The sequence below is a fragment of the Homo sapiens genome, chromosome 2 (assembly GCF_000001405.40).
Source record: "Homo sapiens chromosome 2, GRCh38.p14 Primary Assembly".
NCBI classification, from domain to species: Eukaryota; Metazoa; Chordata; class Mammalia; order Primates; family Hominidae; genus Homo; species Homo sapiens.
Window position 1 is genome coordinate 143,739,089 of NC_000002.12, and position 25,901 is coordinate 143,764,989.

The window sequence follows — 25,901 nt, forward strand, 5'->3', positions numbered from 1 at the left end:
AGAAGACTGACCCAGTGATGAGGCTAAGAGAGCCCATCTGCATGCACACTCCATCTTGGAAGGCTCTGTGACCTGTGCTTAGGGGCAAACAGTGATCGCAGGTGAAGTATACTTGGAAGACCAGAAAAAGACAGCAGCCTTAGAAGAAGATGATAGCAAAAACAACAAGAGGGAATCAAGCTCCCTAGCAATCCTGCTGGGGTTCAAAGCTAGATTCTGGTCCTCATGGGAAATGAAAAGTAAAACCGAGAATCAATATCACAAGCAGAAAGGCCATTTGGGAAAACTGGCCACATACAGCTCAGTCCTGCTGCATCCTGAAATCACAATCCTGTGAGCTGGCAAGGTCCATAGGCTCTTATAAGAAACTTGAGTGCAGCTGAAGCAGGCAAGAAATAGCGCCCAGAGTCCTTGGGAATTTTGCATCATCATTCCACTTAAAATTAAAATTTGCTCAAAGCTCCAACTCTTCTAAAATTAGAACCCCAGTATCTTTCAGGTTATCAGAAAGGGTTGATATTTTCTTGAGGTATTTCTGGTCTGATTTCCTGCTACCCTTGAACCCACAACTCACTCATGCCTTCCCATTGGCCAATGTTCTCTTATCTTGACAATTCCTTTTCATTGTTTTCCAAGGCTCACTCTAGGCCATAGCATTCAGCTGACTTTTACTGAAGATTGACAGAGGATAGAGAGATCACATCACACCCAGCCTAGCTGATAATTTAAAATGCAAACTATGTAAACTTAAATAATAGGTGCCCCTGTTACTAAAATGCACCTTGATCATTCTCCCCACACCCCCAACTAAGGAATTTTCATAGATTGTCATTTCCATTTGGTCTCCAACTTCCCACCGTGTCATTCTGCCCCAACACTCTACTTTCATAATCTCTCTTTTTGCACACAGCTCTCATAAGTCCATTTTTGTGTTTTATGCAGAGAATTTGGTTCTCTTTTTTTCTAGCTGTGTTTGAGAGATTATGTTTCCACAACCAAAATGGTCCATCAAAATGTTTTGCTAAGCAAAACAGAAAAAAAAAATGATTTTCTCCACTAGGAGGAATTTTGCTGTCAGATATTAAAATAGCATTTTCCCTCATATACATGAATCTACAAGATGAGCGTAATTATATCTCTTATTAGCTTAGGCAAGGATTGATAGATCTAAACCAATCTGCAGAGAATCTACTGGGCTATATGTATATGTCCTGACCGTTGTGGCTACCACTGTCTGTCTGCATATTAGGAACAACAGATACATCAGAATCTACCTCTTGACTTTCTGTGACAGGTAGAAATGTAGTGTCTCCAGCAAGGCAATTCCCTTGAGCCATTACACATGCAAAATATTTCCTCAATTGAAAAATGCTACTGGAAATTTTCACAGAGAACTCTAGGAAAGAAATTCCTGAAATTGCAGTGTAAAAACTCATAAAAGAGCTCTGCAATAAGAAGCAATATTCTCACCAGGCTGTTGATACTGTTTGAGAAATTTACATCAAAACAGCGTCAGCGGTGGTGCTAACAAGCGCAGTGTCAACGAGATCCGCCAGGTCTGTCAGTTGATGTAGTCCCAGGTACAGCAGGGGCAGTTTGCTGTCTTATTGTAGAATAAATGTGGGCCCCAAAACTGTCAGTAGCACAGAGCTATTTAGTGCCTTAAAAGACAATGAAATTCTCTCAGGAAATGAGAAACACAGGATCTACTCAGCTTCCAGTTTGAGGGCCATATTTATGTGTTTCAGCATGGATTTACACTGCCTTTTGTTTTGCAAATGCTAATACCATCCCATCCATTTTTTTCCAGAAATATTGAAGCTGTGGTTAATTGAAAAAAAAAGAAAAAGAAAGGCGAGGATTTAGCAGCTATATTCAATGTACTGTATTGCTATAAAACTACTTCACATCCTGTCACTCATCTCCCTCCTCCATTCTTGTCCCACCCAAAATCACTGAACCAAACAATGACAAAAATATAAAAGGACCAAAGCAACTCACCCGCATTGCCCAGTAGTGGTCCCTTGGCAAACACGGTGAAAACATCACTTTGGCAGATGACAGACACTTGGGCCTTGGCTAGGGCATTAGTGAACAATGTTATTAAGGACTAATTAGATGGCTTTTGTTGAAATATTTCCAAAGAAATGAGCAAAATAAAGCTGACCTAAAGAAAATATTTTAAAACCTCCCACTGAGCATGCTCAGAGAAAGCATTTTGACTTCTTTTATTTTTAAAATGCTCAACCATTTTCTTCAAAAACTTGGCTTGATCTTCCTGATTCAGTGATAACTGAAGTCATGCCAACTTTGATGTTTTTAGCTTCAGCTGTTTTAGAGCTATATGTGATCCCCCCAAAAAGGTTGGAATGAATTTTTTTTCTGAGTGAAGAAGGAAGCATATGTTTTAACCCTCATGTGCCTTTTTTGAAAAGGATGAATTAACATCCTATAATATTTTATCTTTGAGCTTAAAATAAAAGAGTTTAGTTTGAAAGTCAAAGAGACATTTTTCAGAAATTGAAATGGAGACTTGGGCCTTCAAGAATTAAGACTATGAATTGTATCTGCTTTACCGAATACATTTGGAGACTTGCATGTCTGCTGCTATTGTTTTAAAATGGCAGCAGAGACCAGGCAGCCTGGAGACTTGAGCAAGATGGACCACACACAAACCAAATTTCAGGACATCAAAAGGACATAAAACTAATATGCAGAAATGCCGGAGCATCTTGAATACATTTTTTTTCCAACCAGATATATGACATGAAGAATGAGAAATAAAAATGAACTCAGAAAGCTTTAATCCACCTGATGATCTTATTTTCCCTTCTAAGTTATAGAAAAAGGAAGGGAAGAAAAAACAATAAGCAGCTAGAAACTGATTGGTACCAAATATAATTGATCCCATTAAAGAAGGAGCTACATAGAGGAGACAGTTATCAGTTATCAGGAAGATTTCTGAGAGCCAGGTCTATATTCTTTTTTATTATTGACCATGCCCATGATTTGTCAGATTTCCCCTGGGACCAACTGGTCTTTGGATCTCCTTAGGACACACCAGAGGCAATAAAAAAAGGAAATCACACTAATTATAGCAGATCTGATCACAAGCTAGGAAGGTAGACAACAATTCTAGTCATGCACAGAGCTATGTCAAATGGCTCCATGGTTGGTGCAAACCTGAAATGAGAAGTGGCTTCTGACTTAGGGTGAGACATTTCCCACGTGACTGCAGATGGAAACACAGGATATCCGTGCTTCCAGATCAGACATAGGTCATTTTTGTGGAAGACCGTGCAACGCCAAGTCTAGAAGTCTAATAATATCAAGTTAAATTTCTTCAAGTCAGAACTCCTACTACATTCTGGTACGTACCCAAAACACTGGAAAACCAACAAAAGGAAAGAATCGGTAAAGAAATGACAAATGTCTCCCTCTTATGTCAGAAGAAATTTGGGCAGAAAAATTGAAACCAGAATGAAAGAAAGGTTTAAAAGGAAATTGAGTCTGTGTTTACAAAACGATTCCAATCTGAGGTGAACTGTCCAACTCAACCAGTTGCTTTGGAGAAACATGATTAAAGTGATGACTGAGGTGTTTTGCGTGCTAGCCTCAGTTTCCTTTATTCCCCTCACAGTCCAGTGACAGCCAATCAGAAAAGAACCTGGCCCGGAGGCTTGTCAGTGATAATAATTGAAAACATCTGTCCATGCAGCAAGTGTGGGAAGCCCATGCAGCTCCCTGACAGAGCGAGTTCTCACACAGCAAAGCCATAACCACGACTGCTCATATTCTCCTTCACAGACTTTTCTCACTGCCAGCTGTCTTTATTCTCCTGCCAGGAAAGCAAGGGGCCTGGGGCTCCAACCCAGGCTGGGGTTAAGTGAGCTGGGACCAGGGGAAGAAAGGGGACAGGCTGGCTCCCAGCTCTGGGTCTAGAGACAAGGGATATCTGATTGGGAACTAAAGAGAGCGGCGACTGAGGAAAAAGAATAGCAAACAGAGAAACCAAACAAACTGAAGAGGACAGATAGGCAGCGGGATAAGAAGCGTTCAGATTCTAAACTCAGGTGAGCCGGGTTTAAACCTTGGCACAGCATTTTCACTATGTCACTGGGCAACCTCCCTGAGCCTCAGGTTTTTCGTCTCTAAAATGGGAATAATAGTACCTGTCTCACAATGTTTTCATGAAAAATAAGATAATGCACTTCAGTAGAACAAGGCAAGGACTGAATACACATTAGCTCCTTTAGAAGGGGGCTTCCCAGACAGTCATTAAGGTGTAGAGGTAGAAGACCTCTACTGAGGGGCATGCTACTTCGGTCATGTGTAGGGAAGGCCCTACTGATGGTGTTCTATTGACTTGGACAGTCTCCATGTGGTTCCCGCAGATGTTCTTTCCCTGCCTGTGGCCTGTGTTAAGCTGCTTTATCAACCTGTGCCTCTTAGTTTCTTGCGATCTCTGTACTGACTCCTGTGGCCTCTCTCTGCCATGAAAGCCATGTTCGGGGACAGCACTAGGTTGTACCTGGTCTGTCTTCCCTTGCTCCTCGTGTGCCAATGCCTCGTTCCCCGTTTCAGCAGTTTGCCAGATCTTTCAGCTTGGTATAAAACATATCAAGGGGATATCTGGTTAGAAGAATGCCAGCAAAACATTATTTCAGCCAACTGAGGAGAAACTTCCAGATTGTAGGTTAGAGAGTAATCAAAACACGGAAAGTTGGAGTAAGGGGAAGAAAGAAAATAAAGTCCTTAGTAGCAAGGTTTGGATGTTCTCTCTGCCTTCCAGAAGAAAAAAAAAACATTATTAAGAATATAATGAACCAATAGATTTACAAAGGAAATATAAACAAAATGCCATAAAGGACAATATTTTAAAATTTCAAATTATCCAGATCATTTCATTGTTTAAGATACCCTGTGTACATAAATTAATCACCTTTGGAAACTGCATTAACAGTCACATCACAATTGTATTTATAGCTAACTCACAATTATTTGATGTATGATGTTCACTTGGAAGCTGGAAAGAATAAATCCAGCTTGCAAAGAAGCAGAACTTACTTTTAGGGTGGGGCTTAGGTCCTGAGAAAATCTAGCTCAACACATGGGTGGCAAGGAATAATACAAAAGGAGAGACTTGGGGAGGCCAACTTTGTATCATTAGTTAAGAACAGTTCTGCATTGTATATGTATCCAACATAAACACTTGGCTAAGGATGTTATTCTACTGACAGTGTTTGGTTTTCCTTATGGTCATCAGCTGGATGACTACCGCTACTTGGCTGAGAAGCACTTCATCCATAAAGAAAAGCACCATAAGTAATAATGAGTGCGAGTTTGTGTTAGTTGCAGAGCAAGAATTCAGATTCAACAAGGGATTTTTTTAATCCAATTGAAATGAATCAAACTGTTTAACCTAATTGAGCTTCTATAAATCAGGAGTGTTGTCATATTAGTAATCCCCCTAGATAAGGCACTGCAAAGAGGCGCCGCACAAGAGTGCGAATGTATAAACACAAAATACAGGGAATCTACTGAAGCTCCTTTATTCAGCATCCTTGTACATCTCCCCTCTCTTTATAATCACTATTGCAATAAAATTATCACTTAACCACCAACATTAGTACATCTTTTTAATCATTGAGAGACTATTATAGTTTTCCTATGATTCTGTCTTCAATATCCACCTACAACCATGGAAAGGCCTGATCTTTTCATGACTATAAAATCAACAAAATATAGGGAGGGAGAAAATGTACATCCGTTGGGAACTGGGATTTAAAAATACGTACTATGAATATTGTAAAGTTATTGTTTTAAAAATGAAGCAGATCTATATGTGCTCACCTGAAGGGATCACCAAGACATATCCCATTTACATAGATTTCTCTAAAATCCGCTTCAAATATTTATCTTTGTAAATTACTTCTAATATATTCCTAAAGTCACTGTTTGTCTACTTTGATACCTCTATTCCTTTAAATTTTCCCTTCTTTCTATACTCACTTAAGGGCAACGTGGCTCAAAACCCCCAGGAGCTTGCCTCTCAAGTTCGCAGATTCCTTCTCATCCAGGAATACCTTTTGTTGCTTCCATAGATGTATCTGGTTACCTTTTGAAATTACTTTTCTGCTGAATGGCACATTCCTGGCATACATGCCACCATTCCCCATTCCTGAACCCATGTTGACATAACTGAGTGATCATATCACCCTTTTACACTGTGACTTCACCTTCAGGGTCCTTTCTCACAGAGCAGGCAGCCACCATCAGCCAGGTGAAGCAAATCTGTGTGCCATCCCTTCTGCCAGAGCAGGTCTCTTTGTCCAATGCCACCATTCTTTTATAAGTGTAAGAAAACAAAAACTCAGACTATAGACACACCCTCATGCTTCCAAGAGATGGAGACTCATGTCTGTTTCCTTAAAAATCTTGTTTCTGCCTTTCTATTTCACTCATCACTTTGATAAATAAATGTAAAGGTACATATAAACATCCTATAATATATAAATGTATATTTAAAATATTCATATATATGCAAGAGATTACTACAAACTTTTTACATTTTAGGGTTCACTTATTTTGCAATTGATGGCTGTGCTTGCAATGTGTTTCTGAGCTTGTCAACTTTCCTTGCAAAGTATTTCAAGTTACAGGAAGGAAAAGGTGTTTAAAATTGTTAATAGGATTTGCAGCACAAGGAAATTAGAAATTCTTCTGCCCAACTGTCTGATATTCAAAATGAGGAAACTGAAGCTGAGCAAGGCTAAGTGAGTGCCCAGAGTACTACAGGTAGTAAGAAGCGAAGCCAGAAGAGAAAAATCAGGCTTTCTGTTTCCTTGTTCAAGTTGATCTTTCGTTCCAGTAATTAAAACTGGTGTGCAGTAATGAGGCAAAAGCAGCTTCGTCAAATCAGCTTTTTTCTCCAACTTCCTATGGTATTGTGGGTCAGTTGACCTCACGAATTTCCACACAATTCTATATGTCAGTGAAGTAGATTATTTAGACATTCTCTTCTGTATATATTATTTGGATTATGTAGAAATTACCCGTAAGAAACCAAGACTTTTCAACACGAACCTCATGACTTCCACATTCTATTTTTGATACCTTAACCTAAAGTAATTTCACACTCTCATAAAACCTTTGAAAATGGAGCATCCACAGATGATATTTTGCACTTACCAAATTCCTTTTTCAAAAAAAAACCCTCTAAATGTTACATTATATTGTTGTATTTGCAAATTATATCCTCCAGTCATCCTCTGTAATTTTTTTTCAAAGAAAGTAAAACACAGAAGATAGGAAGAACATAGGGAGAAATGACACAGAAAAAGCCTCAACATCTAACAAACATGAATGTCTGTTGACAGCGTTGTTCTGACTGCAGACAGAAAAATATTGGGGAGTACCTCACTTCTGTTCAGACAGTCCCTTTTGGGTGAGAAAAAGCTTAATCTGTCAGCCAAACATAAAACAAAAACTATTTGTAATAAGAAGTTACTGAATGCCCTAACTTTTTTACCACAAATGAAATAGGAGGAAAGCTGAAGGTAACATATCACCTAAATGCAAAGAGTTTGCAATCTAATTGAGAGAGTAAAACATATGTGAATGAAATAACTTAGCGATAAAAATAAAACATATCAACAACAATGTAATACAATCTGAATGCTTAAATGCCAAGAAAGCAAATAAGCAAGTGATCAGAATATGATTCTAAAAGTCTTCCTAGTAGAGACATGCTTAAATATGTTTTTGAGTAGCATGATTGGCATAAATGTGGCAATAAAAATAGTAGTAATATAAGTGCAAAACAACTCAAATGTGTGTGGCCATAAGGATACATGAGCAGGTAAATTGACCTCTAAGCCCTGAATGGATGCTATCTGCTTTATCATCTTTTAACTTTTTTTTTGTTAATAGATTTTTCAAACCAGATTTAGGTTTAAAAAACTGATCAGAATCACCACTGGGGCCTGTCAGGGGGTGGGGAGAAAGGGGAGGAAGAGCATTAGGACAAATACCTAATGCATGCAGGGCTTAAAACCTAGATGATGGGTTGATAGGTGCAGCAAACCACCATGGCATATGTATACCTATGTAACAAACCTGCACGCTCAGCACGTGTATTCATGTATCCCAGAACTTAAAAAAAAAGAAAAAAAAAGATCGGAGACTTCCCATATACTTCCTCTCCACCCACCACATACACACAATTTCTCCTATCATTAAAATCTTGTGTTGGTGTGGTATATTTGTTGTAACTTATGAGCCAATATTGAGACATTAATTAAAGTCCATAGTTTACATTAGGCTTCACTCTTTACACTGTACATTCTATGGATTTTGACCAATGTGTAATGACATGTAACCACCATTATAGTGTCAGAGAATAGTTTTTTACTACCCTAAAAATCTGCTGTGTTCCACCTTTTCATTCCTCCCTCCCTCCCCAAAACCTCTGCAACCACTGTTCTTTTTCTGTCTCCAAAGTTTTGCCTTTTCCAGGATGTCAGGTGCTTGGAATCATATAGTATACAGCGATTTTAGATTGGCCTCTTTCACCTGGCGATATGCATTTAAGATTCTTCTTGTTCTTTTATGGTTTGATAGCTTATTTCTTTTTATTGCTAAACTATATTCCGTTGTATGGATATACCACAGCTGTTTATCCATTCATTATCCATTCATTTATCAGAGGACATCTAGAATCTTTAACTTAAAAACAAAAATTTTTAAACTTAAGTTTTTAACCAACATATTTCTCAGGTAGAAAATATGGTTCTCAGAACACATATACTTTTTACCTTGAGACTTCCTTGTCTGAGGCAATACGTTGTGATTTTTTGGAACACAATACTAAACTATCATTTGTGTTCTTAAACTTGAATCAAAGTCCACTTCACCTTCTTGCTTCTGTTCTTAGGCAACGTGAGAGCAATTAATTTTAGAATATAGAACAAAAAGATGAGAATTACAAAATTAAGTTGTGAATTTTCAAATGAATGTGGTTACTATCAAACATCTACTAGAGGTCATGTCTTTCTTTTTCTCTGCAACTACAACACTATGTTGTCTTCACAGTGAATCAGAATATAATTCCAAATTTGAAATTATGCCTTTTTCTCTCTTCTTTGGTTACACTGTTAATTATGTCCAAAAAGCAATTTTATGATCTTTTCAAAAGTGACATCCTAAGCTGTTGTTGATTCTCTAAGTGGAAACAAATGTCACCTGGCCCACCTATGTCTTTGTTTTTGATGTCAAATAACATTGATAACTAAATCACTCTAATATAGGGGGAAAGAAAAGCTGCCCTGCCATTTGAAGGGAATTTGCAATGAAATTTTACTTGGCCCCACGATTATGTATACCTACTGGTTTTAAGACAGCACACAGGAGGCTTTGCCAAGAAAATTTTAAAGTTCAAGCAGAAAAAATAATCACAATATCTTTCAGTCATTTGCTGCGTGTATTTGTTTCCTTAAAATGCACAGCTAAATGCTCTCTACACACAGATATCACTTGGTAGGCGGAGTATATCTTATTACTGGGTTATTTTCCAGTACATTTGGCATAGTTAAGGTAAAGTGTATTAACTTTCTCTCAAAATAAAGATGAAAACAGAGTTGTAGCGGCCGTGAATGCTTCAGCCATTGTCAGGAAGTTAAAAACTGACAGGAGGCCCAAATAATCAACTCAGCCTGCTGCATATACCATAGTTTTCCCCTGGGATATCTGGTCTAATCCAACAATGTATCTGACTGGCATGAATGTAGAATTACTTTCAATAAAGATTTTATTTCAAGCTTGGATGATTTCCCCCAAAACATCTTGTCACTAAGGCAAAGTATATCATAGAATATCTGATTTTTTTTTTCCCCCTACAAGTCAGCTTTTGAGAGGGGGAAAAAAATACACATTACAACTCAAGTACTCAACTCAGGTCAATTCACTGTAAAAAATCACATTTTAACATATCTACACTGATTAAAGATTTGCTGTGTTAAAGAAGTCAGGGTGCTGTCAAAGAGAGCTTACCCTAAAGTCTGGAAATGTAAAAAATAAGTACCACACTTGCTCCACTCCAGTCTGCATTCTGCCTGCAGTGGCCTCCAATCGAAGGGCAGGCAGGACAGATGAGTCCACCAGCTAACACCCGGCTCCGAGAATATTTGTCTTTTTGCAAGTAAGGAACATTTCAAGGTCACATCTTCCAATAAGTATGAAATTGTTTCCAGGCTATAAGAGAAATATGAATGGCCTGGTCATGATCACACGAAAACGATCTTCATTTCTCTATGCATCCTTCTCTCTCTCTTTATTCCATTCTCTTCCTTCATGATGCCACATTAAGTCAGCATGTTCAAGATAGGGGAACAGTAGGTAACAGTTCATTACTCTATTTTGAATTCCCTTAAACGTTTCATTTAGTACTTGCGTACATTATTTCAGCCTTGGTGTCACATTGTTTAATTTATGCTTGGTTCATATAATCTTAAAAATAGCTTGTGTTACCTACAGAGTTTCACCCCTTACTAAAAGCACACAAATCATATGATTTAGTGCTAATGGGATAGGAGTAATTATTTTAACATTTAATAATCATAACACATTATATTTATATGTTTTAAATTCAAAATCCCTTTTATCTCTATTATTATATTTTATGATTAACATACAATGTTACAATAAGTATGTACACGAAAGAGCACTCAGCATGGATAATAGTAGATAAAACTCTAGAGAAGCATGGAAAGGGCTAGAGTTGAGTCCCTGGTTCTTTGACTTTATTAGCACTGTGTAACCTTTGGACAGATCATTAACCAAGAAGTCCCTAACCCTGGCTGCACACCAGGCTCATCTGTGAAGCTTTTTAGCAACTCTGAGTCCCGGGTCTCAACCCTGAACTACCAAATCAGAATCTCTGTGCAATTCCTTTCCTTTATTAAAAGCCTGAGCCAGAGTGGAAAACCAGTGAGTTCTAATCTCCCTTTCCATGTTTATAAAACAATTGACAGAAAGAAATGTAATCACATATAATAAAAATTAATGTTTCTGGCTGGGCGTGGTGGCTCACACCTATGATCCCAGCACTTTGGAAGGCCGAGGTAGGCAGATCACCTGAGGTCAGGAGTTCGAGACCAGCCTGGCCAACATGGTGAAACCCCATCTCTATTAAAAATCCAAAGAATTAGTGGGGCATGATGGCGCATGCCTATAATCCCAGCCACTCAGGAGGCTAAGGCAGGAGAACTGCTTGAACCAGGGAGGCAGAGGTTGCAGTGAGCCGGGACAGTGCCATTGCACTCCGGCACAGGCAGCAAAAACGTAAATCAGTCTCAAGAAAAAAAAAATGTTTCTCTAGCTTGCAAAGGGTTTTCACATACATTTTTAAATTTAATCTTCAAAACAACCTATGAGATCAGTTTTGCCATTAACTTCACTTTCTAAATGAAGAATCTGAGGCTCAGAGAAATGGTAGGGCCCATCTAAGATCACAGTCAGTACCTATAGAACTAGCACTTAAGATTTTGAGCTTCCAGATCAAGAGCAATGGTTCTTTCCCTCCAGTTAGAAGAGAATCACATGCAGAGCGTTTAAAATGTACCCAGGCCTAACTGCAAGCCGTTTGCAACAGATTTTATGTGGATGGGTCCCAGAGGTTAATATGGTTTTGAATGTTCCACAGATGATATTAATATGCAGTCTGGATAGAGAATTTCTGCCCTAGAATGATCAGAACAAGTTTGGAAAATATAAAGTACTATACAGATATAGCGTGATGATTTTATCTCAGTTTTGCTGATAATTAAGCATGAATTCAAAGGGGGAGGGAAATGATGCGTGAACACAAGGCTGTTCAGATCTAGGCTCCACATTAGATGTCAGGTCTTCCCTTTCATGAGCCAGCTCTATTTCTATTGGAACTTCTCTGACTCCCCAGAGCTCATGGTTGCTGTCACAGGTTAGATTTAACATGGCGCCAGTTACCTATTAACACCAACAGAAGTAAAGATGGAGCAGCATGGGGTAGAAAGAGAAGTCAAACTATGACATTGGGCCGGACAAAGCCTGGCTACCCACAGAAGGTCTGGGGCATCCAGGGCCCATCACAGTTGTCTCCGGGAGGATGAAGATGGCTTGGCCTTGATACACTCACTGTGATCAGTCATTGGCCGTGGGCTGTCTCCAAGAGTCCCCTGGGGTGAGGTGGCTCTCTTCAGCTGAGGCAAACCCTGCAGGGGCTGACAGCTGAAGCTGCCTGCGGACTTGACACTTGGAAACTGGGCAACAAGTCTTTCCTCAAAGAGAGACCTGGGTAGCACATCAAGGGTCCAGCACAGTCCACCCTTTGTGGTGCTCGGAGTGTGTTCTTCATGTTCATTTGAGAAGCAGCTCCCCCAGGACTCTCAGGGAGAGAGGAGATCTTTGAAGGGGAATCTTTAGAAGGATGAACTACAAGCTCTGCAGCTACAGCTGGACCTGAGCCCAGCTCATTGTCTCCATCCTCCACTCTCTATTCGAGACTCCCCTCATCCTCAACAATGGCGTCTGCTGGTCGTGGTGGCTGCCCTAATGTAATGTCCCAGACCCTCATCCATGGGAGATCCAAGCTCCTACATACCATGTCTTCTCAGACAAGAATTTCTGCCCTGTTAATGCCCCATCACAACTGGGCAACAGAGAACTTGGAAGCCCTATGTGGATCATCTGGGTGCCACTCTGTCCCCCTGGTGTAACAGCAACCTTGCCTCCGCCCTTTGATCACAGTTAATTATACCTGCCTAGATGGTGACTCTTTGCCTTGACTGCTGGTGCCTGGACCCAAGAAGCTCCACCTGGCAAGAAAGCAACAGTAGCTTAGAAGACAGTGATTTGATATATCATTCAAATACAATGATATACAGAGAATAGCATCCTTCCTGACTGCCCATTTATTTTGTTCCAGAGGATGCTATGTTCTAGCGACCATCTCATAATTCTCTGAGTCGGGCCCCCTTGGCTGCCCCTCAACCCTGCCACTTGTTATTAAAATTGCATCTACCTGGCTTCTAGTAATTAAGCCCCACCAGCTGGCCTCTATTACCAGTGTCTCAGCATCCCCATTACAATCAGTGAGCCTAGTTCTGTAATGGACTCTCCTATAGTCAACCCTCATTTACAGAGTAAAGGCCCCTATAATCACATACAACTTTTCTGTAGAATATCAACGATGCTTAGCAACAGCTCTTCAATTCATTGACCTTGGAGTTACTATCCACAACCTCCCACTATTATTTCTAAATGCCTCATACTTTACACCAGCTAGTCTCCTCCACAGATCTAATGTCCTAATTCACCACCAGGGTGAGTTTTCACAATTGGGCTGCCACCTTGTGCCAGGACCCGCCTGCATTCCACCTGCCACCATCGATGGACTCCTCATTGCCAGTCAGGCTGCGAGTGACCCAGCTCCAAATCTCCATCTTATTGCTGGCTTTCTGGGACCACTCATAGAACTAATAATCATGGGTTCAGTTCTCCAGAAGGAGCCCCTGAAACAGAGTTTGGCATCCAGGGCATTGTTAAAGGTTAACCCCTGTGGAAGGAAGGAGGTGGGCAACAGGATTGGGCAGAGGAATAAGCTGAACTGAAGTGCAGACCCAAGAAAGCTTCAGCCAGACCCACAGGAAGCTCTGGGGCACATAGAGCCTGTCAAAGTCGTCCCACAGTGGGCAGAAATAGTCCAGGCTTTATACTGACTGACTGAGTAGGGGCCAGAGCAGTGGCTCACACCTGTAATCCCAGCACTTCAGGAGGCTGAGGCAGGAAGATCACCTGAGGCCAGGAGTTCGAGACCAGCCTGGGAAACATAGTGAGACCCCATCTCTACAAAACAAAAAAATTTTTTTTAATTAGCCGGGCATGGTGGCACACACCTGTAGTCCTAGCTACTCAGCAGGTCGAGGCGGGAAGATCGCTTGACCCAAGGAGTTAGAGGTTACAATGAGCTATGATTGTGCCACTGCACTCTAGCCTGGGCGACAGAATAAGCTCGTCTCTTAAATACATACATAACATAAAATATATGTTGACAGATCAGTCAGTGTCCTTGAGCAAGGAGGCTTATTGCAATTGAGGCAAACCGTGAAGAAGATAGCTGGCAGCCATCAGCTATCCCTGCAGCTATGCAGGTAGTCCTTCCTTGAAAGGAGATCTAAGTGGCCCATCTCTGCAAGCAAAGCAGCCACCATAATTATCAAATTGACAAATGTACGAATGGCCCCTTAACAGACTAAGAGCCTTCTGTTATAAAGCTTAATATAATGCTTGATAGTGGTCCCTAAAAGATGAGGCATTTCATGTAGAAATTCTTAGAACAGGTGATCACAGTTCTACGTACCGGACGATAGAATCATGAGTTAGCCCAGCATCCGTATTTACAGGGACATATGCAGAAACTGGCACAATCCATTCCTTCAACGTAGTACAGATGATAAATTTATATGTGTAAATGCAAAATAAATTATTTTCTATCTTTGAGCAAAGTATTACATACATTTTGAAAGGGTTTATATTCCTGCAGATGCATCGAGCATTTTACCAAAAATAAAATTATATGGTCAAATTTTAGATGGCCAAAAAAATGGCATCATTATCTTTAGCTTCAATCCAACCATAGCATAAAACAGATAAAAATTACTCTCTATTCTAAATTCCTCTCACCAGTTTTGTTCAAATTAGGTACATGTTTGGAAACTCATTGTCAGATAATATATGCGAAGGAAAGACACACTGAACAATTACAGGCCCTTAAGTTCTCAAACAGTTGCGCTTTTTATTTTTGCCTTCATCTTCTTGTCCTCTCATACATTACACCAACTAGTCTCCTCCACAGATCTAATGTTCTAATTCACCATCAGGGTGAAATTTAGGTGTGCAGGAAATGTAATTATTGTGCCAACATTAAAATTAATTTATTTTTCAGGCCCTATTCTTCTAAATGACTTGAATTTGGTCAGTTAAGACTGTCTTCCAGATTTTTTCTGGTGATGTTGTTAGTTCTGGAGGGCTATGTAAAGCCGAAGCATTTGGTGGAGGGGCAGAAAGGATATCCATTAATACAGCGTTTCAACAAATACTTGTTGAGTACTTAATACCATGAGCCAAATACTAATCTTAGTCTATGGATACAGCACTAAGCAAAAACAGATAAAGTCCTTGTGCTTACGGCATTTATATTCTGCTGGAGAAAGATAATAAAGCAGATTAGCAGCAGAGAAAGTATCTAGTTTTTCCCACCTCTGCAGGCTGGTCTTCATTCCCTTTTCATTTGCAGTCATCATCCCCAACTTCCAATCCCAGGTCTGGATCTCAGTCACTCTTCACAGAGTACTCTGTGAGCTATCTTTGGCCACCCTGCCTAGATATACAAAGCAGCAATTTCTACTTAACTGCTCCTGATATACTAGGTGTAGGCAGCTCTGGAATCCTGCCATACTACTAGGTCTTCCCCAAAGAGAAGAATACAGATCTGTCTGATTCTCAGGATCCTCAAGCCTTCTAACAGCCTGCACTCCCAGGGAACGGGATTAGCAAGGACCAGGGCCTGGGCCACTTACGTGGGACCTCATCAAAGTCTCACCTTTCCTAGACCCTCCCTCCCCAAGTCCAGAAAATCTTTCTCTAGCCTGGCAGCAAAGCAGCCTGGCTCTTTATCTACCTTCCAATCTACTGATCAGGCCATCCATATTTTGGCTGCAGCTCTGAGGCCTTTGGCACTTAGGCTTTTGAAACTCAAAAACACAGTCCTTTGCAACTCAACTGCCTTGCCTTGCAAAAATTAAAAGGACTTCTGCTTTTCTGCATCACCCCTGAACTGAGGGCACAGTGTTGCTGACTGAACATTGGGGAAAGACCCAATGTACAAGGAAGGGTAGAGAAGAAGGCTCAGTCATTATCTACTATCTCATCTTATCCCCAGATGATACTTTGACTTTCCCAGAATGCTCACTCTTTCATCATTAATCCGGCAGCCCAAACCACACTTCAAAGATTGTTCAACCTTCCATCCAATACAGGAATCTCAAACATCCTGCCTGAATACTTCTCTTGATGGGGAACTCATAGCCTTTTTTGGTATAAAATCTTTAATATCTTTAATAGGTGCTCCCAATGCTTTGCCAGCATATATGGGGGGGGGGGATCTATACCAAATATCAATAGTGGTAATATCTAAGTAGTAGAATTATGAGGGATTCTTATTGTATCTTTGTCTGCATTTTCTAAATTTTCTGCAGTACATGTAAATGCATTACTGTTTTGAAGCAGTCTTTTCTATTTTTACAACACTAATTCTTCATACAAAGGTAAAATCCATCTCTGGGCCAATTCCAGTAACTGGATTACAAGAGGAAAGTTTATTCTTTCTTTCACATCATGGCTTTTTGCATTGAGTCATGACTTCCCTAAATATTCTTTCCCCCCTGCTAACCAAACACCTTCAGTTCCTGCGCTCTTCCATTTAGAAGCCACTCTCTGGGCACATTCACCTTGGTGCTCACTAGTTTTACTGTGTCCCTCTTAAAGTCACTGCAGAAAGTGTCTAAAACTGGCCAGGTGTGGTGGCTCACACCTGTAATCCCAGCACTTTGGAGGGCCAGGCAGATTACCTGAGGTAGGGAGTTTGAGATCAGCCTGACCAACATGGTGAAACCCTGTCTAAAAATACAAAAACTAGCTGGGTGTGGTAGCGGGTGCCTGTAATCCTAGCTACTTGGGAGGCTGAGGCAGGAGAATTACTTGAAACTGGGAGGCAGAGGTTGCAGCGAGCTGAGATCTTGCCACTGCACTCCAGCCTGGGTAACAGAGTGAGACTCCATCTCAAAAAAAAAAACTCTAAAACTTATTTTTCCTCAGAAAGTAAAATTAAGCGCATACAAACTGAATGATGATACCCAAATTGCAACTGATTCTCCTTTGACTATTTTTCAGTCATTTAAACAAGGAGACAATTTTCAAGAAAACTGCTAAAGATTTTATGTAGGCGCCCTCAATGAAAAGTAAAGTTGCTCTTCTCTTCACCTATATAAAAAGGAAAAACAAAAGAGAAGTTGAGGAATACTTTGCATACTGAAAATATTCCTTTTATGTTTATCTAACGTCACAAGGCAAATATTTAAGTACTATATACTCCACTAATAACTTATAATTAGGTGCATTATTCTGCTTGGCTTAATTAATGCTGATCCATGCACAACACTCAAAGTTCTGTCTAAAATATTACTAGCACATACTAGTTTTTAAATAGCTATATTGGACTAATTCAGGTAGAAAATAATGACAGTCTTATAATTTTTTTATTGCTTAAAGTACTCCCAACATAATATATTTGCTAGCCTTTCTCCCCTAAATGCAGAGCGATGCCTTCCCAGGATGTTGATATTATCAGTGGTTATTGGTGTATCAGCAGAGCTCAGGGAATAAAGATTAAGAATTCTTTTACTGCTGAGACAGTTAAATGCAAATGGCTAAAACCATTTTAAAAGCATGAGGAAAAACACCTAAAAAAAAAAATAACTGAAATAATCATTGTGCTAATAGGGCATTTCCATTTACAATGAGATATGAATGCTTTCAGAAGTTTTTAAATCTGTGTGAATATGGAAAAAAGGTAATACATGTTAATTTGGTTTTTCTTCCATCTGAACACCCTTCTTATCTGTGCAGATATATCCTTGGATGTGAATTAGGTGATTAAAAAATCAAAATATGTCACCCAAGACTTCTTGTTGACTCTGACTCACTTTTTTCCCAAGTCTTCCTCAGGTCTCAGGCCTCTCCATTAAGAAGTCTCTTGATGTCAAATTCAAAATTCTTGGATCTTAGCTACTTGCAGAAAATACATTTATATCACAGAGTAATAAAGATCTGCATCTTAATCTAGGCTCTGCCACTTACTGCCTGTGTGGCTTGGATCAAATTTTCAGTCTTTCTCAGGGTCATTTTGTTCATCTGAAAAAGTTCACCTGAAAATTTTCTCTTACGTCTAAACAAAAGAAAAAAAAAATGGGAAGAGAAATATCCCAATATACAGTAAAGTTACAGTGATTTAAACAGCAGAGTACTGAATCAAAATACACACAGAGGCTGGGCACAGTGGCTCACGCCTGTAATCCCGGCACTGTGGGAGGCTGAGATGGGCAGATCACTTTAGATCAGGAGTTTGAGACCAGCCTGGCCAATATAGGGAAACCCCGTCTCTACTAAAAATACAAAAAATTAGCCAGGCATGGTAACGCGTGACTGTAATCCCAGCTACTTGGGAGGCTGAGGCATGAGAGTCGCTTCAACTTGGCAGGTGGAGATTTCATTGAGCCGAGACAATGCGACTACATTCCAGCCTGGGTGACAGAGTGAGACTCTGTCTCAAAAAGAAAATATATATATATATACACATACATACATACATAGAGATTATCAGCACAGTACCGTATACCAGGGTGTGTGGCTGACTGCAGGCAATCTGCACAAAAAAGGCAGTACCACAAATCAATGGAGAGTGGTGGTTTATTCAACAAATGTCATAGGGAAAATCAGCTGGTTTCCAGAAAAAAAGTAAATTCAGAGTACCATCAAATTTCACACAACAAAAATATTTACAATGAATTAGATGATATGCTTTTAAAATCTAAAATCATTTTTAAAAACAAGACTTTGATAATAGTTATCTGATCTCTTTAAATGGTTGGATTTTATAATAATAAAAACAAAGATAAAATCCAAAAGAAATAGTACTAGATATGACTACATAAGAACTTAAGTAAATAAAATTAAGAAACACAAGAATTGGGAGAATGTATGTGCCACAAAAGTAATGAAAAGTTACTCTTAAGACATAAAGAAACTTAGAAATCTACATATGCAAGGATTTCACTGTAGCATTGTCTGTAATAGCAAAGAATTAGAAGAAGCAACCTAAAAACCAACCAGCAGAGAAATGGTTAGATAAATTAAGGTATTTCCATACTATGAAATATAACAACTTTTTTAAAAGAATGAGGTATTTTTATATGTACTGACTTGGAAACATGCCCGTGATATATAGTTAAGGGGGGAAAAGCAAATTATAGCACATTATGTATTTTTTATTTCATCTTTTCTAAAAAGGAAAAAAATTATTTATATACAAGTGTGTGTGTATATATATATAAATATATATAAAATAGGTAGATGGATAGATGAGTAGAAAAACATCCAGAAGGAACACCCATCTGTTAATTATAGTTATGAAGAAATTTGACTAGGAAACAGGGGAGGTTTTTACTTTTTACTTTTCAATAGTTCTGATTAGTACTTTTTTTTTCCCAAAAGACCATGTATTAGTTTTGCTGTACAAAATAAAATGGGTTAAACAAACAAACATAAAAGTATACACTCTAAATAGGAAAGAGGGCAGGAGATATTCACAGGAGAGGAAACACACGACTGCTTGTTTGCTTTATTAACTTCTTCCCCATTTCCTAAATTCAAAGAATCCTAAGTTCAAAGAATGACAGACTATTTTTCATGTATGGCAGTTATTTTTAAAAAGAATAATACCAAATTATAATACTGCTAACAGGACTAATAGGCCCTCCCACATGTTATGTTTTAAGGAAAAAAGAGCCATAACTTGATAATCTGGTGCTGGTTCTCAAGATGTGGTTCCCAACCAGACCAGCAGTACTGTTACCACTTGGGAACTTGACAGGAATGCTGTTTATCAAGCCTCTCCCCAGACTTGCTGAATCAGAAATCTGGAGGTGGAGCCCAGCAACCTGCCTTTTAATACCTTCCAAATTATCTTCATGAAGGGTAAAGTTTGAGAACCACGGATCGAATTGTTACATTTCTATTATTTTACACTAAGGCAGAGGTCTTCATCTGCAGCTTTATTGCCATTTGGGGCTAGATAATTCTTTGTCATCAGAGCTGCCTGTGCATTACAAAATGTTTAGCAGGATCCTTTGCCTCTACCCATTAGACACCAGTAGCAATTTCCCACCCCACCTGCTCATGACAATCAAAACTGTCTCCAGATATTGCCAAATCTCTCATAGGTGGAGGGGTGGGGCTTGGGACAGGGTACAATATTGCTCCTAAATGGGGAACCACTGCCTAAAAAAATACTCCAAAATGTGGAGGAAGAGTACATGGGAAGGTTTTATTTATTTATCTCACTTATACCACGAAAGCATATGGCACAATTCATTCTCTTCCATATAAGGTAATGATGAAGTGATATATATTACATATATAAGTCATAGGAATTATTCCTGTTAGAAGTGAAAAATGCCAGATACAGAATTATATAAAGTGCATTTTCTCAAAGTTGTATGTAGATACATTATACAAACATTTCTATCATCTCTAAATGCCAACAGTGTCATTCTCCTGCTCGAACCCAAAGAAATGATTTCCATCACCCTTAGAAATAAGTCCCAGATTTTTACCATGACCCCTAAGTCCCTCCGCAGCATTTCCTACCTCTTTCCCTTTGCTCCCTGGCCTCCAGCCAGACTATGCTCTGCATTCCTCACCACCAGGGTATTGTACCTACCATTCCCCGCCCAGAACACTTGTTCCCCTGATATGTGCACCTCGACAGGACTCTGCTCAAATCTCCCTTCCTTAGAGAGGGCTTCCCTGAGCACTCCGTCTAATACACGTAGCACTTCTTACCACTCTCTGCTCATTAGTATTACCTGGGGGCTATTCAAAAATGAAGGCAGCCTGGCCTTGCCCAATATTCAATAAAAGAGAATCTCTGGGAATGGATTCCAAGCCATCAGGGTTTTTTTAAAGTTCCCTAGGGTCAGTGGAAGAACCATTACTTCTCTTTTTCTTAGCTTTTCTTGAAGTACTTCAGGGCCTGAAGTCACATTGTATATTGCTTAGTGTATGGTTTGTTGTCTGTTTTCCCCACTAGATTTTAAGCTTCATCTGAGCAGGGATTTTGTCTGTTTTACTCATTGCACTATCCCTAATATCCAGAATAGTGTCAAACACATAGTAAGTACGCAATAGATTTTTATGAACTAATAAATGGTTACATCGAGTTCCCAGTGTTTATTATACTCTTCTAAACTTTTCAAATTTTCTCTAATAGAATGCGTTTATCATCAAAAAAAGAAATTAAAGCTGATTTTAAAATCTGCCTTTAAAATTTGTGATATATTTGAAGCACAGTGATTAGCACATAGAAGGTATTAATAGTAACAAACAGTAACTACTGTAAATGTTTCTTTTTGGTATTATCTACTATGTCAGGGTTTTGGTTCTGATATTCCATTTTATCTGTGGTTGTTATCACCTTACAGAACATATATTCTAATAAGAAATAAATTATAAATTGAAGCCTGTGGGCCATTCATTTTTTTACTTTTTAGTTCTCACATCTTATTAAATATTCTAAATATTGCTTTAGAGATACTTTAGAATATCACTGTAATGCCCAATCAATAAAAATATGAAACAAGTGAATTGAAAATGTTTCAATCTTCTGCATTGAAATTCATGCAGAGGTTCAATAAATGCAAATAATCTGGCCATGTTAGCTATCAAAATTCAACTGCCATATAACGCTCCTTTGCTATAATGTACTAAGAATTATATACACCTAACTTTAAAGCTAATTTTTTGCTTTTATTCAAAAGCAAAAATGTCAGAATATAGCAATAATTCCTATTTAGGATGATAGTTGTTTTGGAAAATAAGAATGACATGATGTTTAGATATAAAATTGAAGACTTTTCAATTTGTTTAAGCTAATGGATATGTAAACTGGCATATAAAAAATGGCTGAATTATCTTTGAGTGACCACCTCGAAACACACTAATGTTAAATGCAAAAACACTTGTGAATGCTCCCCTGCTTTTCCAATACTTGAGAATGTTTCTGGCATACAACTATAACTTTAAAGAAGAAGGTGGAATTTCTGCTAAGTCCTCAATCTTATAAAAAGGCCAGTGTAGATAGCAGTACAGTTTGTGCAAATTGAGGGTAGGCAAGCATATGGTTAGCATAGATCCCCCCCGAAATAGTTATAGCACATAGGAAACATAAGTTGAGCATATTGAAAATTTATTCTATTTTTAACAGCCTCTCTTTAGTTAAGTGGTCAAAGTCACAATTAACATTTCACATGCAGTGGCTGAGCTATATTTTGCAAGCCAGGTGTGACCTGATGGCAGGAATACATTTACCACCACACTCTCCTTACTCCGTAAAACTATCCTAAAGTTATGTGTGTTGGAAAATCATGGCATTCCACAGATAGAGAAGGGAACATTTCTAATACACCTTCATAACTGGAGAGTTGTCCTCCAGGCAATTATGTGACTTTCAACACACTTTGCAAGTCACTATAGTAACAGCAAAGCACAAACTTAAAAGAAAGTTCACATCCATAAATCTGTTTGGAGCTGAACTATTATTAAAGGCTTTGGTCTTCTTAATTCAGCATTAATTTTTGGTTGTATATTAAAGTTTTCTTTCAGTTCGAGTCATTTGGCTGTGATTTTATGTGACTAAGAAATTTCTTTGAATTAGCAATTCAGCTCATTTTGGGAAAAACTTACCCAGCATAAGGCTTTTTTGAGAGGATTTCTTTTCCGGGGGTCCAACATCTGTAGCACTGGATTATAAATTATTTCTAAAATAAACTTAAGTTGATGGATCATTGTTCTTCCCATTTGGGCCTGACAAAAGGTAGCACTCACATTTCCTTTTTTTAATGCTGTAAACTGTGTATCACTTCTCAGCTCCTGTTAGAAAACTGAATTCTTACTCATTCTAAGATTTTATAAACTTGAATTTTACTTAGTGGTATAAGAAATGCTTTTACTAGGAATACATACAAAGTGCTATTTCATGAACAAATTCATAAAATCATATTTTTGTCAGGCTATTTAAAACTAAGCAGTATAAATAAATAGCCTTTTTCAAGAATTGCAGTTTGGGGCCTTTTTTTCTGTTAGTTAAGCATTCAGAGGCACTAAACTTTGAGCTCTTCATGTTGCTTAGAATCAGGTATCTTTGCTATGATTTCTTGGGAGTAAATTAATGATGAGTCAACATACATCAAGAGGAATTCCCAAATATTGACATAAGGTCTAAATATTTTGGGGCCTCCTTGCCCACTATCATGCTAATGTCTCAACCACGTGTTTTCCTTACCTTTCTCATTCAGATTAGTTCTTTTGCCTTTTGGCCTTTGTTTTGTCATAAAAGGGGAGTTTCTTTCATTTCTTTGCTAAAAACAGGTTAAATGGTAGCTCAAACTTTACAACACAGTTAAGGAATTTAAGGGCCTAATGAAACCTAAGCCCTACCAGAGGGGTGGAACTAGCCGGAATGACCAGAATCTGACTTCTGAGTTAGCTGCTACAGAGCTGTGAAGCCAGGGTGGCATAGGAGGATAAAATTCCTAACATTTTCAGACTTGTATATGGTAGGTCCTTAGCAAAACACATAGAACAGCATTTCTTCATATACACTCTTCAGTGTTACTCAAAAAAGAGAACCTATGTACAAGATTCAAGTAATTTAGGGAGGACACAAGTTAAAGATTGGCAAGGATTTTTTTTTTCTGCAGGACTTTTCAGAGCCTTTATTATGCTTTTATGCATTGTGAATATCCAAGAAGAAAAAGTGGCACTCAATTTTCTCCAAAACTTTTACTTTGGAATGCCATTTTTCGTGAAGCATATCAGAGAAATGGTGTTTTACAGAACCCACTTTATTGAAAGATATTGCCAAATCCATGGTAAAAATGTATATGGTTTCTGGATCAGATCCACCCCTCCAACAATACAACTCAACTAAAGCTCAAGCTACTTGAAGTACACCTGACTGTTTTTGAGAGTTTTCCATCTAAGATACTAAATTGAGTTATATTATTCCATGAAAGCCTTTTATTTCTTCCAGCAGCCTATATTTCTTTTCTACATATGTTTTACTAGTTGAAACCTTCAGAAATAATCTCTAGCTGGTCCCCACAGTAGGAGTGAAATTATGGTTTCTATTGATGTGAGGTTAAAAAAAAATAGGTAATAATTAGATGTAAAAAGAGAGACATATAATAATATAATTTTGCAGGATAGTATTCTAACTGTATATTTGAAATTGTGGTTGATTTCCTCTGTAATCCTAAATCAACCACTTAACTATTTAGGAGTCCAGCATGGTAGGGAATACGTAAGCTTCCATTTGAATCATGACATTTATAACAGCATTAATACATTTTCCCAGACATTCCCAGTTTGGGGGCCTTCTTTGCTGGAAATGTCTATCCCCACATAATTTAAACTTTAATATGAGAATGTATTAGTCAACATGAATTATATAGTTCAGTATTTGATGACTTCTACCCCAAATTGATCTTTACCTTCACCTTTTCTAACCTAAAGACAGTGATTTCTTCACACATGAACTACTGTTTGGTTGATATTTGGAAAATAAATTGCATATATATATCTTAATAAATTGCATATATATAAATAATAAATTGCATATATATGCAAATTGCATATATATAAATTGCATATATATGCAAATTGCATATGTATATGTATGTGTATGTATATGTGTATGTATATGTATGTATATGTATATGTATGTATATGTATATGTATGTATATAAATATATTTATATACATATAAATTTTATGTATATATTTATATAGATTACATATATACACATACATACATATTTTGAAATAGTAAATAAGCCAGATAGCCTGTGTTCTATATAATACTATATCTAACTTTCTTTCTTAATGACTCTTAATTTTTTTTAAAGTTACTACAAGTAACTTGATTTTCCTAACTCAGGAAAAAAATTTCAAGCTGCTGAAAAAATTTAACCTGCAATAATGCAAATATAACAGGAATACAAAACTATGTGTTATTTTTTAAATTTATTTTAAAAATTTATTTTTTAAATGAGATTATTTAAAACGTGCATAAGTTTTATTAAAAGCAAATGGAAAACGTGCAGGGAAATGGACATAAAGGATAGAGGTTTGAGGCAGAATGAATATTTTATATTGACACATGCATAAAAGCACAAAATGAACATTTTTCCACAGGAAATTTAGGTAATTTGCATTCGCAGAAATTCATTACAGGAGTCCCCCACGGTGGCCCAGTGGCTGAGAAGCCTTCTCCCAAGGGAGACTCAGACATGCAGGCACATGGCTTTCCCCAAGGAGGTACTCAGACACGCAGCTCTAGCCTCCAACTCTTCCTTCTATAACTGTATCTTCAATCGTCTACTTTTACATAATCTCTTTCCCCTTTCAAACTTCCTTGGTTCACTCCCCCACATTTGGCCCTGCTCTGGTTTCCAAGACCAGGTCTTTTGCTGAGCAGGGAAAATAAAAAGAATGCTGCAGAAATAGTAAATAGTCCAGCCCCGTTTCAGTTTTCCTGCTCTCCCTTCAATGCCTGAGTCCCCTTTGAGAGCTGAGTTATCCCTCCACCCACCCAAGCTCCTCCAAAGCTATAGACCCCTTCCAGCTTCCACTCCCATAGCCTCAGACTATCCCTCCACTAATGAGCTCTTTCATCTCCCTTGATTTTTAGCCTCACCTTTGTGGGTCTCAGTTTTGGCTCCCAGATACCTTAATCTCACTGTCTCTGCACCAACTAAAACTATAGCCATAATTAAATAGGTAACTCTATCTTCAATCCTGTCAATGTTTACATCATCCTTTTGCCCTTTCAGATTTCCTGGACTCCAAGTCCTAATGTTCTACTACCCTGTTGGCCAAGATGCCCCATTCACCTTTGTACCTTCAATACAGTCTTGCTTTTGCTTCTACCTTCTCCATGGCCCATGACCTCTGAGCCCTGTTCTCTGCTA

The 25,901-nt window shown here is 38.4% G+C and overlaps 1 protein-coding gene and 1 long non-coding RNA gene across 10 annotated transcripts in view; one reads left to right on the forward strand and one right to left on the reverse strand.

Moving 5' to 3' along the window:
- The window catches only part of ARHGAP15 (Rho GTPase activating protein 15), a 638,934-nt gene that overhangs the window by 609,670 nt on the left and 3,363 nt on the right, over positions 1–25,901 (forward strand). The gene's annotated exons all lie outside the window — the stretch shown is intronic.
- ARHGAP15-AS1 (ARHGAP15 antisense RNA 1) overlaps positions 1–25,901 on the reverse strand; it is a 135,343-nt gene that overhangs the window by 98,333 nt on the left and 11,109 nt on the right. For 2 of the 3 annotated variants that reach the window (XR_007087252.1, XR_007087250.1), the window contains exon 1: positions 2,002–21,495. This is a non-coding gene — a long non-coding RNA (ARHGAP15 antisense RNA 1). Of the gene's footprint in view, positions 1–2,001; positions 21,496–25,901 lie in introns of those variants that run through there. The other variant, XR_007087251.1, reaches the window with a different exon arrangement.